General features: G+C 35.8%; 2 protein-coding genes across 8 annotated transcripts in view; both read right to left on the bottom strand.

Moving 5' to 3' along the window:
* Positions 1–17901, bottom strand: part of CCDC169-SOHLH2 (CCDC169-SOHLH2 readthrough) — a 129598-nt gene that overhangs the window by 65379 nt on the left and 46318 nt on the right. The window contains exon 5 of the mRNA NM_001198910.2: positions 15011–15087. Within this exon, the coding sequence (NP_001185839.1) occupies positions 15011–15087 (77 nt within the window). The remainder of the gene's footprint in view (positions 1–15010; positions 15088–17901) is intronic.
* Positions 1–17901, bottom strand: part of CCDC169 (coiled-coil domain containing 169) — a 75811-nt gene that overhangs the window by 11592 nt on the left and 46318 nt on the right. For all 7 annotated transcript variants that reach the window (NM_001144984.3, NM_001144983.3, NM_001144982.3 and 4 more), the window contains one exon: positions 15011–15087. In NM_001144984.3, coding sequence (NP_001138456.1) covers positions 15011–15087 — 77 coding nt within the window. The remainder of the gene's footprint in view (positions 1–15010; positions 15088–17901) is intronic.

Below are 17901 nucleotides of genomic sequence, written 5' to 3' on the forward strand. Positions count from 1 at the left end.
AATAAGAGATAGAAATTATTTAAAAAGAACCAAATAGGCATTCTGGAGTTGAAAAAGAATATAAATGCAATGAAGAATTCACTAGAAGAGCTCAACGGCAGATTGGAGCAGACACAAGAGTCAATGAAGTTAAAGATTTGTCAATTAAGATCGTCTGGTTTGAGCAAGAGATAACAAAGAATAAAGTGAAGGAAATTAAAATATTTTCCCCCAAAATATATTTCTTTGACATATTTTAAAATGTCAGTCTCTTGGCCAGCAGGCAGAAATGGCCTTACAAAGCTGTCTTAAGTGGGAAAGTTTGCATTAATGTGGAGAATCTCCACTAATGCAACTGTGCCACCTCTCCTTTCTATGCTTTTCCCCAGATCTAGGAGAGACTGAAAGTCTGACACATTTAAAAGTCTGAGAAGAAACATTTACCATCTATTCTCTCTGAGGGTGGCTTCATCTACATAAAAAGTCCACCTTTGTTCGCCAAACCTTTTCTCCCTGCTCCCAAAACCTTTTTTAAAATCAGAATCTAAGCCCCCACTCTTTCTGTAACCTCAAAATGGTATATAAGTTTCTATAACTCATTGGGAAGTTGGGTCTTCATTCTGAAGACTCCCATGTATACATATTAAATAAATCTGTGTGCCTTTTCTCCTATTAATAAATATGATTCATGTCTGTGATTTTTAGCAAACTTCAGGGGCGAAGAGCCTATGGCGGCCCCCACTAAAGAAAACTGAACAGTCTCAGAGACCTGTAAAACACTATCAACTATACCAACATATGTATAATGAGTGTCCCAGAAGGAGAGGGGAAAGAAAAGGACAGATAGAATATTTGAAAAATAATAGCTAAAAATTTCCCAAATTTCATTAAAAATATTGATCTACAAATTTAAGAAGCCTAACAAATTCCAAGATGAATATCCAGACACATCATAATAAAACTATCAAAAGCCAATACAAACAGGGAATCTTGAAAGCAGCTAGAATGAAGCAACTCACTCTGTAAAAGGGATCTTCAATAGGAGTAACAACTGATTTCTCATCAGAAACTATGAAGGCCTGAAGACAGGGAGATGAAATATTTAAAGTGCTATAAGGAAAAAGACTTTCAACTAAGAATTCTATATGCAACAAAACTATCCTTCTAAAATAAAAGAAAAATTAAACATTTCCAGATAAGCAAAAACAGAAGGAATTAATCATCAGCAAACCTGCCCTATAAAAAAATAGTAGAGACTTTTGTGTTGAAATAAAAGGACATTTGATAGAAGTGTAAATTCACATGAAGAAATAAAGAAAACTGGCAAAGATAACTACATAGGTAAACATAAAAATAGGATAAATGTAGTTTTTGTTTGTAATTCTTCTTTTTAAATCTCCTAACTGATTAAGAAAATAACTGCATGAGCAATAATTGTAAATCTGTTGATGGAAACAAAATGTATAAACTTGTAATTTGTATGACAATAACAGCACAAAGAAGGTGAAGGGAATGGAGCTACATAGGAAAGAACTTTTGGTACACTATTGAAATTAAGTTGTTTTGAACCTAAAGTAGATTGTTATAAATTAATATCTTAATTGTAATTCCCAGGCAACCACTGAGACCAAGACCAGATGGCTTCGCTGGTAAATTCTACCACATATTAAATCATACATATATAAAACCAATCCTTCACACGCACTTCATAAAAATGAAATAGGAGAGAACACCTTCCAACTTATTTTATGAGGCAAATATTACTCTTATTTTCTTCTTTCTGCTTATTTGGGGTTTAGTTTGCTCCTCTTTTTCAAGTTTCTTAAGGTAAAAGATTTGATTTTTTATTTGAAATGATTTATTTAAAAATATATTTACGGCCATAAATTTCTCTCTAAGCACTAAACCTGATAAAGAAAATCTATGAACAAAATTTACAGCTAACATTATATTTAATGTAAAAACCAAAAGCTTTCTCTCTAAGATAAGGAACAAGTTAAGGATGTTCACTATTACCACTTCTATTCAACATTGTATAGGAGGTTCCAGCCAGGGCAATTAGGCAAGAAAAATAGATAAAAGGCATCCAAATTAGAAGAAAAAAAAAAGAAGTAAAACAATCTCTATTTAGGTGACATGTTCTTATATATAGAAAATACTAAGGCATACACATTCACATACAGACACAGACACATACATGCATTTATGAGATCTAATAAGTTCCTCAGGGTTTCTGGATTTAAGATCAATATGCAAAAATCAACTGTATTTCTAGACACCAGCAATATACAGTCCTAAAATGAAATTTAAAACTTAATTCTGTTTCAAACTGCATCAAAAAGAATACAGTTTTAGGAATAAATTTAGCCAAAGAATTGCAAGATTTGTACACTAAAATCTATAAAATATCTATGAAAGAAATTAAAGAAGATCTAAATGAATAGAAAGAAATTCATGTTCTTGGATTAGAAGACTTAATATTGTTAAGATGGCAACACTACCCAAAGTGATCTACAGATTCAACATACTCTCTCCATCAAAACACCAGCTATATTTTGTGAAGAAATTGACAAGTGGATCCTAAATCCACATGGAAATAAAAGGGACTCTGAATAACCAAAACAATCTTGAAAAAGAACAATAAAATTGGAGTACTCGCACTTCTTGATTTTAAACTCACTAAAAAGTTAGTCATCCAGACAGTATGGTATTGGCATAAGGATAGAGTTATAGATCAATGAAACACAACTGGGAGTCTAAGAGTAAACCCATATGTTACGGTCAATTGTTTTTTTACAAGAGTGCCAAGAGCATTTAATTGGCAAAGGATAGTGTCTTCAACCTATGGTGTTAGGACAACTGAATAAATACAGGCAAAAGAGTGAAACTGGACGCCTACCTCACATCATATACAAAAATGAACTCAAAATGGGTGAAAAGGGAGCTAAAACTATAAAACTCTTAGAAGAAAACATAGGTTAGGCAATGACTTCTTATGTATGACACCTAACACACAAGCAAGCAAGAAAAAGTAGATGATGGTCTTTATCAAAATTGAGAACTTTTGTGTTTCTAAAGATATCATCAAGAAAATAAAAATACCATCCATAGAATGGGAAAAAATTATAAATCTTTTATCTGATAAGGTCTCATACTCAGAATATAAAATGCTCTCAATGCAATATAATAGAGACAAACAAACCAATTTAATAATAGGCAAAGGACTTGAATAGACATTTCTCCAAAGAAGATACAGTTGTCCCTCTACATCCAAGGGTGATTGGTTCCAGGACCCCCATGGATACCAAAATTCACAGATGCTCAAGTCCCTTACATAAAACGGTGTCATATTTCCACATAATGTACACACATAATCCAGTATACTTTAAATCATCTCTAGATTACTTAACATTAGATTACATTAACACAAAAGTAAATGCTATATAAATAGATGTTATACTTTGTTGGGTTTTTAAAAATTATTTATTATTATTGTATTATTATTATTATTATTTTCCCCAATTTTTTTTGATCCACAGTTGGTTGAATTCATGGATGCAGAATTTGTGGATATGGAAGGCTATCTGTATAGAAATGGCCAACAAGTACAAGAAAAGATTTCAACATCATTAGTCATTAGGAAAGTGCAAATCAAAACCACAGTAAGATATCACTTCACATCCACTAGGATGGTTAAATTTTTTTAAATAAAGGACAACATGTGTTGATAAGGATGTGGAGAAATTGGAACCCTGATACACAGCTAATGGGAATATAAAATGGTACAGCCACTATAGAAAATAGCTTGGCAGTTCCTCAAAAAGATAAACAAAATGGAATTAACCCAGCAATTCCACTTCTAGGCATGCACCAAAGAGAATTAAAAATATTTGCACACAAAACTTGTACAGGGATGTTCATAGTAGCATTATTCATAATAGTGAAGAGGTGTAAACATGTAAATGTTCATCAGCTGATGATTCGGTAAATAAAATGTGGCATATCCAAAAACTGGAATATTACTCTGTCACAGAAAGGAATAAGGAATTCGTATATGTTCCAACATGGATGAACCATGAAAATGTTATATTAAGCAGCAGAAGGTAAACACCCAAATTCACATATTGTATGCTCCCATTTACAGTTGGAAATGTGCCACATAACATTTCAGTCAGCAATGGACTGCATATATGACAGTATTCCTGTAAGATTATAATACTGTATTTGTACTGTACCTTTTCTATGTTTAGATACACAAATACTTACCATTGTGTTACAATTGTCAGAGTGTTCCCTACAGTAATATGCTGTACAGGTTTGTAACTTAGGAGCAAGAGGCTATACCATATAGCTAGGTGTGAAGTAGGATCTACCATCTAGGTTTTTGTAAGCGCACTCTGATGTTTGCACAATGACAAAATTGCCTTATGACACACTTCTCACAACATGTCCCCATCATTAAGGGACACATGACTGACTGTATATGAAATAACAAGACCAGAGAAAACCATAAAAACAGAAAGCAGATTAGTAATTGCCAGGAGTTTAGTGGAAGGGGGTTTGGGAACTAACTGCTCATTCATACAGGCTTTCTTTTTGGGGTGATGAAAATGTTCTGGAATCAGTTAGTGGTGATGCTTGCATGACCCCATGAATATACGAAAAATCACTGAGTTGTACACTTTATTATTTTTATTTTAAAAAAGTTTTTAAATGGGGTCTGGCTCTGTTGCCCAAGCTGCAATGCAGTGGCACGAACATAGCTCACGGCAGCCTTCAACTCCTGGGCTCAAGTGATTGTCCTGCCTTGGCCTTCCAAAGTGCTAAGGATACAGAGCTGTAGGCTAAAAGGATAATTTTTTTGGTATGTGAATAATATCTCAATTAAAAAATTTTTTTAAATGTGCTTTGGGAATAATCCATTTCCTGTTAAAATTTTCTTTAGTTTATTAATCATGTTTAAAAATGATTTCTTCTGGTGAAATATGGAATTAACCACAATCATTCAATTATTATGTCTAATTAATATAGCTCATTATAGATATTTATTATTTATAGTACTAAATGATTTTCTATTACACTAAGGATGTTTTGAGTAGCTTCCAAAATATGGCCCATTTCTAAAAGATCTAACTAACATGATGACACAAGTGTCTGAATAATAACTAACTAATGACACTAATGATGAAGCTGAGGTACTTCACTGGTAAAAGATATTTAATCACTGTCTTTTAGAGCAGTGTTTTCCAAACTGCAGAATGCAACTCATTAGTGGATTGATTTACTGAATTACAATAGCAATATAAAAATAACAGAAAAGGAAACAGAACAGAAGAGGAAAAAGAACATATATTAATAAAAAGAACAGAAAAGGGGCCAGGTGCAGTGATTCATGCCTGTAATCCCAGCACTTTAGGAGGCCAAGGTGGGAGATTGCTTGAGCCCAGGAGATTAATACCAGCCTGAAAAAACATGGCAAGACCCTGTCCATATTCTCTACAGAAAATCAAAAAATGAGCTGGACATGGTGGCTCATGCCTATAGTCCTAGCTACTCAGGAGGCTGAGGCAGGGGGATCTCTTGAGCCTGGGAGTTTAGGGTTAAAGTGAGCAATCATTGTACCACTGCACTGTAGCTGGGGCAACAGCACAAGACCTGTCTCTTTAAAAAAAAGAAAAAAAAAAAAACAGAAAAAGAAGTATCAATATGCATCACACATAGTAAGAGAAAATATTCTTTCATAAACTGTAAAATATGTGAATATATATGTGGGTATAGGGATCACAATATGGTGTCAGTCATGGTCAACACAGTTTGGAAACCATTCTATGCTCCTGAGTATTATGATTTTTAAATAAATAATAGTGGTTAAGCCTCCAGCAAGTTTATGTTATTAATAGCAAAACAGACACTTGCAGTTCCAAATTATTGTCATATGTATTTTTCTGTCCTCACAAATCAATACATTGTTACTCTGCTGATTCTTTATATTCAGTAAAGCACTATAGTAATGATAATAGTTAGTGTTTGTTGAATTAGGGATTTTTAAAAATAATCTCTAATTCTCATACCAATCATTCATTTTGGGTTTCATCTCTTCATCTTATGGGGGAGAAAATGGAATCTGAGAGTGGTTACTTATATAAAGTCACATTAAATAATAAGAAATGGAGGCAAAAATTGATTGGTCTATCTGCTCCAAAGTCAGTGCCGATTTTCATTTACACTTGTCCCCCCTTTATCCATGGTTTTACTTTCCAGTTTCAGTTTCCTGTGGTCAGCCATGGTCCCAAAATAGGTGATTATGGTACAATAAGCTATTTTGAGAGAGAGAGAGACACCACATTCATATAACTTTTATTACAGTATGCTGTTATAATTAAGTTGTATTATTAGTTACTGCTAATCTCTTCCTATGCCTAAATTGTAAATTTAATTTTATCATAGATATCTATGTATGTAAAAAAACTTAGCATACACAGGGTGCAGTACTATCCATGGTTTTGGTATCCACTGGTGGTCTTTGGAATGTATCTCTCTTGGGTAAGAGAGGACTACTGTACCACCTTGCTTCTCACTATTTTTTTAAACACTGTACTGTATTAGTTACACAGTATTTATACTGCTATTATGACTTAAGAATTTCCATAGTCTATCTGGACTATCTCTTGACTTTTCTCTTTTAATATAAAATTATTTAAAATAATTATAAAGTATACATATTCTTATATAAAACCTAAGAGGCATAAATATAAATCATCCACAATTTTACTAACCTATTTTGTACTATAATTTTTGTTTACTATTATAGGTAAGCGTTTTTCTATGTCAGCTATGTACTCTCCTAGAATGTAATTTTTGCAACTTCCTAATATCAACAGAGTTATTGACTTACTCTTTTAATGTTGGATATTTTGGTTGTGTTATCTCTACTGTAGCTGCTTTTTAAAAAAATCAGAATCAGAAGGATACGCCCCTAACAATCTGTCTCTTACCAAGTCCTAGTATCAATTTCCCTCAGGTTCTTTTGCTCCAGGGTACCAATGGCTCCTTAGTTATTTTCTTCCTTTAGGGCTTTTAGTCACTTTAAAACTGTTCATAAGCAGAAAAAAATGAGGTTTCACACTAAAGAAAAAAATAAACTTTAGTTTTCTATTTTTAGGAACTATTCCTGTGGTATCAGTTTTGAGCTCCTTGCTTTCGGGAATATGATTTTTCATAGTTAATACACACCATGGGCGACAGTCAATAAAGTTACCTATTGACTTGTCTAGACTTTTTTGGCAACTTACAAAACTTATACTAAAAAGACTGTTTCTCCTATTTAATCTTAAAGAGACTTTTGTCCAATTGATATATGTAAAGATCTCTAGAATACATCCTTCAACAGCAGTATAGATATCTTGTTCATTTGTGGTCATAATACATAGTATTATGTCTACACAGTAGGACTATAATAGCTAATATTAAATCTACATAGTCTATATAGTAGGACTATAATAGTTAATATTATATCAGGCACTATCCCTTTCTGCTAGATTTTTAAAAGAGAATTTCACATTCATATGGGTATTTTCTAATGTTCTGATTTGTTCTGAATGTTAGGAAAAATGGGTAAGTCAATATTTTAATATTAGTACATATGAGAATATCAACCAAAGCAAACATTAAAAGCCATGGAGACTTGATTAAAAGTTCACAAATCATAAATGTACCAATCCATAAATTATAATAAAGCAAATACTGATGTAACCACAACTTAGGTCAAGCACTAGAATATTATCATCATACTGGAAGATGCCATCATGTCACAATTATTATTCACTTCTTCCTTTCCATTGGTATTAATAATTACTAGCCTGTGTTCTGACATCACAGTTTACTTTTGTCTGTCTTTGAACTTTAAATGAATGGGATCACATTGTACATATTCTTTTATTTCTGACCTACTTCACTCAATACTGAGAATTATCCATAATGTTGTATGAGTTATAGTTTGTTTTTATTGCTGTTATTTTCATATATGTATATATAATTTTCATCCATTCCATTACTGATGGACATTTAAGCTGTATTCAGTTTTGAACTGTCAAGAATAAAGCTGCTATGAACATTCTTGTTCTTTTGGTGTAAATGTATGCACCATTCTATTTGATATATTACTGGAATTGTTGGGTTATAGAGAAGGTATATGATCAGCTAAATATAGAAAATAATGCTAAAATGTATTTGATATGGTTTGGCCCTTTGTCCCCAACCCAAATCTCATGTTGAATTGTAATCCCTGGTGCTGGGGGAGTGACCCAGTGGGAGATAATTTGATCCTGGGGGCGGACCTCCCCCTTAGTGTCCTGGTGATAGTGGGTTCTCACGAAATCTGGTTGTTTGAAAATGTGTAGCACTTCCCCATTCACTCTCTCTTCTGCTCTGCCATGTGAAGAAGGCACTTGCTTCCCCTTCGCCCTTCCACCATGGTTGTAAGTTTCCTGAGGCCTCCCCAAACATGTTTCCTACACAGCTTGCGGGACTGTGATTCAATTAAACTTCTTTTCTTCATAAATTATCCAGTCTCAGGTAGTTCTTTATAGCAGTGTGAAAACAAACTAATACAATATTCCAAAGTGGTTATATAAATGTATACTCCTACTAGCAATGTATGAGAATCCCCTATTCCTCCACATCCTTGACAACACTTGGAATCATCAATCTTCAAAATTTGTGGCTGTATCTTGTAATTTTAATTTGCATTCTGCTGATGAGTAATGGTGTTGAGTCTCTCTTCACATGTCCTTTGGCCATTTGGATATCCCATTCTGTGAGGTGCCTAATACCGTGACTTCCTTTAAAGACTCAAATTTGAGTCATCAACAAAAGGAGGATACTAACTTCCAGAGTTAAGCCAGTAAGAAAAACAATATTTTGAGGTAGTACCAATTATATATACCTAATTTGGATGATTAGAGAGATATTTCTATGTTTCTATTAGATGAGTGATTTGCATTGTTTATAGTTTCAGAGAGTGAACGGGTTTTTTTTTTCCATTTGACCATTTATTTAGTCATAAATTCATTCAAAAATTATTAAACACCAATTTATGCCAGGCACTCTATTCAACATTAAGTTTCATCAGAGATGGAAGTGATTGATCTGGGATCAAGCACAAGCAGTGCTGGAGGGCACAAAGCAGCTGAATGGGCAGGTATACCAGACCATGCCACCTACCTCGATGCACCAGCACCTTAAGCTCAGTTCAGACCTGTGGTGTGGAGGGCCTCACAGACAACCTGATCTCAGCCTGATTCATAGCTGCTGCTACATAAGGGGGTGGGGAGGAATGAGTTTGGCACCCAGGTGATCTACTTGGTTGTCCTTTGGTAGTAACTTGCCCAATTCTGACAGTAAGTGGACAAGTATCTTAGCCATGACTTGGAAAGGACATGATAAACAGAAGTTCAGATTCCCCAGGGATAAGAGTCTGGGTCATCCTGCCAGAGGAAGAAAAGGCCCATACTTGAGTCATGGATAAATCAGCTTGGTACATGGGACTGCAGCTGCGCTATAGCCCTACTCCCTCTGCCCAAACCTGGTTCCTAGCCTTCCCCCACAGGTGTTGATCCTAAGAACTCTCGCTAATAAACTTCCTGGCCAGGTGCAGTGGCTCATGCCTGTAATCTCAGCACTTTGGGAGGCCAAGGCGGGAGGATCTTTTGAGGTCAGGAGTTCGAGACCAGCCTGGCCAACATGGCGAAACCCTGTCTCTACTAAAAGTACAAAAATTAGCCAGGAATGGTGGCACACACCTGTAATCTCAGCTATTTGGGAGGCTGAGGCAGAATAATAATTTGAATCCAGGAGGCAGAATTTGCAGTGAGCAGAGAGATTGCACCACTGCACTTCAACCTGGGTGACAGAGCAAGACTCCATCTCAAAATAAATACATAAATACATAAGGCCAGGCACGGTGGCTCATGCCTGTAATCCCAGCACCTTGGAAGGCCAAGGCAGGCGGATCACCTGAGGTCGGAAGTTCGAGACCAGCCTGATCAACATGAAGAAACCCTGTCTCTACTAAAAATACAAAATTAGCCAAGCACAGTGGCATGTGTCTGTAATCCCAGCTACTCGGGAGGCTGAGACAGGAGAATCACTTGAACCCAGGAGGCAGAGGTTGCAGTGAGCCAAGATCGCGCCATGGCACTACAGCCTGGGCAACAAGAGCTAAACTCCATCTCAATAAATAAATAAATAAGTAAAATAAACTTCCTACATGCTGATTCCTATTTCAGAGTCTACTCCCTGAGAGATCCAACTCCCAGTAATATTCAATGGAAAACCAAACTGCCCTCGTAGACCTACATTCTGGTGACACACATATGTGTATGTGCTAACATATGATTAGAATAAAGAAGTTTAACTTTCATTTTCGAAATATTCCCCTCTTCACTATTTAAGCAAATTTGAATAACAGAGGTAATATATTTTTAGAACAGATATGAATTGGAAAATAAACCTGAACTGCAAGATATTAATAAAAATATTTAGGGTGGTTGTGCAGAAAAGTCAACATAGCAGGCTTTAGGCTACTGTCTTTGGAAAAGCCCACTTGCGAGGTTGGCCCTTGGCTGGTATCTGGAAACTTACTGGTAAACAGTTCCCTACACAGATATAAACCTTTTCCCAAATGAAAAGAATGATTCACTGTGCCTATGCTGTTTGTACAAACAATGTGGTTTATATTGAACACCTGTTTTCCTTCTGGGAGTCTGGAATTTTGGTGCATGCCAGGCAGAAGAAGCCTATGTGATCTGCTCCCAATAGAAACATTAGATGCTAAGTATCTAACGAGCTTCTCTGGTAGGTAAAACTTCATGTACTGTCATACCTGTTGTTGCAATTTTTTGCTGGAGGAATTAAGTATTTCTTATGTGACCCTAACTTGGAGAAAACTTTCGGAAGCTTGAGCCTAGTTTTCTGAGAATTCATCCCATGTGCCTTATGCCTTTGTTGATTTTGCTTTGTATTCCTTAGCTATAAATTCCCTGTGAGGTACATGGATTAGAGAAAGAAAGAAAAAAAGAAAGAAAGAGAGGAAGGAAAGAAGGAAGGAAGGAAGGAAGGAAGGGAGGAAGGAAATATATATTAGCCATAAGTACAAATATATGCCAATCCTTATGAATTCTTCTAGTGCATCATTGAATATGGCAGTGGTCTTGGGGACTCTGACAGTATAGAATTCTTCTAGTGAACCACTGAATATGGATGGGAGTGGTCTTGGGGACTCTGACACAGTGGCGTAATAGTTTTTCCAGGGAAGTCCTTTGTCAGAATTTATTTTAATACTTAAACTACATTATATTTCCAATAATGAAAATGTATAAAGATAATAAATAATAATTTAAAGAATTTGACTATTCAAGAAAGAATATACTTTATCTAGCCAAATATTGGACAAAATGTTGCTACCTCATTAATCTCCACCAAGGAAATTTGCTATACTTGAGTGGCTCTTACCTTGACCTATATATAAAAAGGATGCTGACTTATAGCTGATTCACATGTTGGCTTAATTTTTTATAGGGTTAAGTTATATATTAATGTTTTTCCCTACATGGGATAAAGTTACTCAGACAAGGATTACCTGAGTAATTCTTCTGTATTTAGTACAGGACCAGGGAAAATTGTGTGTAGACATAACCTTGTAAACTCACAAAACATTCCTGTGTTTTTGTTTTTTTTTTCTTAAGAGACAGTGTCTTGCTCTGCTGACCAGGCTGGATTGCAGTGGTGCAATCGTGGCTCACTGCAGCCTTGAACTCCTGGGCTCAGGTGATCCTCCTGTCTCAGCCTCCCAAGCAGCTGGGACTACAGTGCACACCATCACACCCAGTCAATTTTTCTAATTTTTTGTAGAGACAGTCTTGCCATGTTTCCCAAGTTGGTCTTGAACTTGAGGCCTCAAGCAATCCTCCCGCCTCAGCCTCCCAAAATGTTGTATGATAGGCATGAGCCACTGCACCAAGCCCTCTGTTCTTTATCTATCTTAAATTGGTTTTATTTACATAGAAAAAACAGTTTAAACTGCACTGTCACCTACGTTTATTTTGGTGTCCACTCCAGTGAACATATTTCCTGACTAAAAAGGGTAGGGCTGATGCTGTAATTATTCAGGCATACCTTGTCTTATTATGCTTCACTTTATTGTGCTTCAAAGATACTGCATTTTTTACAAATTGAAGATTTGTGGCACCCCTGTGTTAAGCAAGTCTATCAGCACTATTTTTCCAATGGCATATGTTCATTTCCTATCTGCATCATATTTTGGTAATTCTCACAATATTTCAAACTTTTAAATTATTACTATATCCGTTAATGGTGATCAGTGATCTTTGATGTTACTACTGTAATTGTTTTGGGGAGCCATAAACCAAGCCCATATAAAACAGCAAACTGTTTAATAAAGGTATGTATGTTCTGACTGCTCTACCAACCAGCCATTCCTGGGTCTCTCTCCCTCTCTTTGGGCTTCTCTATTCATTGAGACACAACACTATTGAAATTAGGCCAATTAATAACCCTACTATGGTGTTGAAGTAGAAGGAAGAGTTGCACATCTCTCACTTTAATTTGGCTAGAAATGATAAGCTTAGTCATTTAGTGAGGAAGGTATGTTGAAAGCTGAGACAGGCTGAAAGCTAGGCCTCTTGTGCCAAACAGTTAAGCCAAGGCATAAATGCAAAGGGAAGATTCTTAAAAGAAATTAAAAGCACCACTCTAGTGAACACACAAATGATAAGGAAGCAAAACAGCTTTCTTGCTGATATGGAAAAAGTGTGAGTGGTCTGGATAGAAGACCAAAGAAACCACAATATTCTCTTAAGCCAAAACCTAATCAAGAGTAAGACCCTAAATCCTTTCAATTCTATGAAGGCTGAGAGAAGTGAGAAAGCTGCAGAAGAAAAGCTGGAAGCCAGCAGAGGATGGTTCATGAGGTTTAAGGAAAGAAGCCCCCTTCATAACATAAAAATGCCAAGTGAAGCAGTAAGTGCTGATGTCACACCTGTTGCTGCAATTTTTTGCTGGAGGAATTAAATATGTCTTATGTGTTGCAGCAAGTTACCCAGAACTAGCTAAGATCACTGATGAAGGTGATTACACTAACCAACAGATTTTCAATGTACACAAAACAGCCTTCTGTTGGAAAAAGATGCAAGCTGAGAAAAGTGGGAAATTCTGGCCTTCTCCATTATTATCAAGCCTCTAAAGATTCTGGAGATACCCCTATCTCAGCCCCACAGTCCATGTGACTTTTAAAAAAATATATATGGAGGAAACTGTGAAAGCCATATCACCCAGACATTCCTAGCTAGAGAGGAGAAGACAATGCCTCGCTTCAAAGCATCAAAAAACAGGTTGACTTGTCTAATGCAGCCAGTGAGTTTATGTTGAAGCTAATGCTCAATTACCATTCTGAAAATCCTAGGAATTATGCTAAACCTACTCTTCCTGTACTCTATACATGAAACAACAAAGCCCAGATGACAGCACAAGAGTTTAGAGTTTACAGCATGGTTTATTGAATATTTTAAGCCCAGTGTTGAGACCTACTGCTCAGAAAATAAGATTCCTTTCAAAATATTACTACTTTTTGAGAATGTACCTGGTTACATCCAAGAACTCTGTGGGAGATACACAAGAAGATAAATGCTGTTTAAATGCCTGCTAACATAACATCTATTCTGCTGCCCATGGATCAAGGAGTAATTTTAGCTTTCAAGTCTTATTATTTAAGAAATACATTTCATAAGTTTATACCTGCCATAGATAGTGATTCCTCTGATGGGTCTGGAAGAAAACCTTCTGGAAAGGATTCATCATTCTAGATGCCACTAAGAACATTTGTGATTTATGGGAGGAGGTAGAAAAATGTCAACATTAAAAGAAGTTTGGAAGAAGTTGATTCCAACCCTCACAGATGACTATGAGGGGTGCAAGACTTCAGTGGAGGAAGTACTGTAGATGTTTTGGAAACAGCAAGAGAACTAGAATTAGAAGTAGAGCCTGAAGAGGTGACTGACTTGCTGCAATCTCATGATAAAATTTGAATGGATGAGGAGTTGCTTCTTACAGATGAGCAAAGAAAGTGGTCTCTTAGATGAAATCTGCTCCTGGTAAAGATGCTGTGATGTCATTTTTGAAATGACAGCAAAGGATTTAGAATATTCTATGGACTTGGTTGATAAATCAGCAGCAGAGTTTGAAAGGACTATGCCAATTTTGAAAGAATTTCTACTGTGGGTAAAATGCTATCAAACCACAACACATATGACAGAGACATCTTTCATAAAAGAGTCAATCGGTGCAGCAAACTTCGTTGTTGCCCTATTTTCAAAATTTGCCACAGGCACTTCAGCTTTCAGCAACCACCACCCTGATCCATCAGGAGCCATCAACATTGAGGCAAGACCCTCCACCAGCAAAAAGATTATAACTCACTGAAGGCTCAAATGATCAATAGCATTTTTCAGCATAAAATCTTTTAAAAGTAAGGTATTTACATTGTTTTTAGACATAATGCTATTGCATACTTAATAGACTACAGTAATGGTATAAAAAAAACTTTTATATATACTAAGAAACCCCAAAATTTGTGTAACTCACTTCATCGTGATACTTGCTTCATTACAGTGATCCGGAACCAAACCCATAATATCTCCAAGGTATGCCTGTGTTTATGTTGTTGTTAATGGTGTAGTTTTAAGTTCTCCTAGGTACATATTATTTTAGTTTAAAAAATAATATAATAATATATTATCGTGCTTGAGGACCAAAAATGTATCTGGGATCTAAAAAAAATGTGTATAAATAGTGGAACAGATCACAACTTCTTTAAGTTCTCTTACCATATGCAATTTTATATTGTTGCTATAAAACCTAGAAGTTCAGCTTCCAAAATATAGTGGACACCTGTTTTGTCAGTGGCATTTATGTGCAAATGTAACGAATTAGAAAGAAAATATATAGCTAGACTTACGTTTTCACTAGATTCTCTTGCATCCTAGGCAGTTGATCCACCTGTTGCCTTTTAGAAACTTGATGTAAACCAGAACCCTGAAATACAAAAATTTGAGTGTTTATCCCCTTGGTTCATAATTGATTTCAGAAATAAGAGAGACAGTCAATTCTCAATTAACTCTCCCATAACCAGGTTCTTTTGCAGCATGTGTAAGAGAAGCTGAGAAAAATGGGAAATTCTGGCCTTCTCCATTATTATCAAGCCTCTAAAGATTCTGGAAATCCCCCTATCTCAGCCCCACAGTCCATGTGACTTAAAAAAAAAATACAGAGGAAACTGTGAAAACCATATCACCTATGTGGTATAGATCATTAAAACTTCTTGTAGTAGACACTAAATATAGATAATGCAGGCACCCTGCCATTACAGTAGATAAGACAATAGAAGCTGTAGTATTTTGAGGCAGAAATAGAAAGACAAGATAATATTTTCATTTTTGCCTATCTTGAAATTCCTCCAGGATATAAAAGTGGAAATTTCTAGTGGTCAGTGTAAATGTAATCTGCAATTCAGAAACAATTGAGAATGATGATCTTAGAGATGGCAAATGAAGCCAAGAGTGAATGAGATCATTCATTGAGGGTACACAGAGAAGTAAGAGAATCAATAATACAAACTGAGAAAGCAACTTTTAAAGGATAGGACAATTACCAAAGATAGACAGGCCATCATTTAAACAATAAGAAAACCCAGGAAAAACTACTATCATAGAAGTCAAGTCAGGGAGGGTGGGGAGTATTCAAAGAAGTGAGCATGGTTGGCAGTGTAAAATGCCTCACAGATGCTTCGCCAAATTTGAAGAGGAGTTGCTGTATTTGGCTATTAAGAGATAAACTAGGCGAAAGCATGATGGCGGGGTCACAAGAGAAATGAAAAGAGATAGAGGACTAAAAAGCAATGGCAATGAGTATATTCATTTATTCATGAAGTTTGGCTGAGAAAAAGAAAGCTAAGGTGGTAGTTTTATGAGGACAGTTAATCGTAAAGTAAAAGTTTGTTTTTATTTTGTTTTGGTGGAAGAGTTGAGCATGTCACAAGCAAAGGATAAGCCAAAGGCAGTAAAAGAGAGATTAAAAATATGCGAAGGGATATTATTAAGTAAGTCCTAGAGACAGCAGATAAGACTGGGGAAGAGGTTTGGGATCATTTTCCTTTAAGACAGGAAGAACAGGATAGTAAATCTGAAAATAAAAAGGAGGAAAATTGGGTTTCACACCTGATAGATTCTCTTTTTGGGTGTGAGCTAAGATATTAGATCATTTGATATGAGTGACAGGTTTGGGTATATTGGAACAGAAAATAGAATTCATTCATTCATTCAGCTAATGTTACTGAGCATCTACTATATGCTGCCACTACATTAAGCACTCAGGTACAAAGACAAACGGGTTATGGTTCTATCGGGGAAACAGCAAAATAAATAGGTGATTACAATTAAGTGCCTTGATGGAGATGTGCACAGGTGCTTTGCAAGCATACAGGAGATGTAGCTAATTGAGGGTATGGGGGACTCCACATGGAAGAGCAGCCAATTAAGAACTAAGGAAAGAATATTCTAGGTAAAAGTAACAGTAAGGACCTTAGGTATAAAGCAGCAGATATATCCAGGAATAGCACATAGCATTTGGTCTAACGGCAGTCTAGGATATTAGCAGGGATATGGCTGCAGAGACAGGAACAGCCAAGTTGAAGAGGACCCTGCAGAGACCACACCAAAAGAGCTTTGCTGTGATCCTCTGGGTAATGCAAACTGAAGGTTTTTAACAGGAAAGAACACTATTGTATCTGTATTTCAGAATGATAGGCAGCAGAGAAGAAAAATGGGTGTGGCAGAGTTAGTTAAGACTTTGGTAACTATGCTGTTGACATTATATCTAAAGTACTAAATTTAAACCTAAGTACTACATTTAAACCTAGGCAGCCACATTTTTAAATGAACAATAACAGAATTGTCCAAAAAGGCAGCTGAAATACCTGGGCAGTCTGGAACCTATGTTATGAGGAATGGCTAATGTAACTTAATATTTTAGCTTAGAAAACAAAACAAAACAAAAACCTATGGGAAGACTGAGAGTCATTTACAAATCTTTGAAAAACTATCTTGCAGGAGTGTAGACTTGTTCTTATTCTTCAGAGGATGTAACTAAAACCAGTGGATTTTAAGGAAGTTTCAGGAAAAGAGAATAAGAGGCATCATATGATGTTTTAACAATTTTAACAATTAGAACTTCCCGATAATGAAACAGAAAAGCCTCAGATTCCTTATCTGTGAGCTAAAAGCATTATATTCCTCAATCTCTCAGAGCCATTGCTAAAATCCTATGTTTACAAAGATAGAAGCTAAAACTTAAGTTTATTATGTGCTGCAAAAAGCTCTAATCGGTCTTTCTGCCTGACTTTTAAGTAATGCAACGTACCTATGTGTTAAAAAGCAATGTCCGTATTGTACTTATGTTGTGCATATCAGAAGACTCCCAAGAGGGGGAAACTCAGTTTCATTCAAAACAGTGAATCAAGAGTGAGACAAAGCTACAGAGAGGACAGCAGCAGAAGGATAAACAGCACACTCAGCAAATAGCTCTAGTTATCTACCAATGAATCAATTATTTATGTATTCAGCATGGGAAGAACTGCAAATCATCCATTAACCTTTCCAATCACCGTAGTATCCACATGGTTAGAACTGTCCTTCACTATAAAGATTAACAATTCACTCTAGAGTGAAAATCTTTAACATTTATACTGGGGACAGTATTAACATCTTCCTGGGAAGCTGTTAAAATAGGCTTTTATCATATGTTCAGTGATCCTGCGGAGTCAGAGTAGGATTATTTCACATAAGTGAATTT

This window comes from Homo sapiens, chromosome 13 (genome assembly GCF_000001405.40).
Source record: "Homo sapiens chromosome 13, GRCh38.p14 Primary Assembly".
Taxonomy (NCBI): Eukaryota; Metazoa; Chordata; class Mammalia; order Primates; family Hominidae; genus Homo; species Homo sapiens.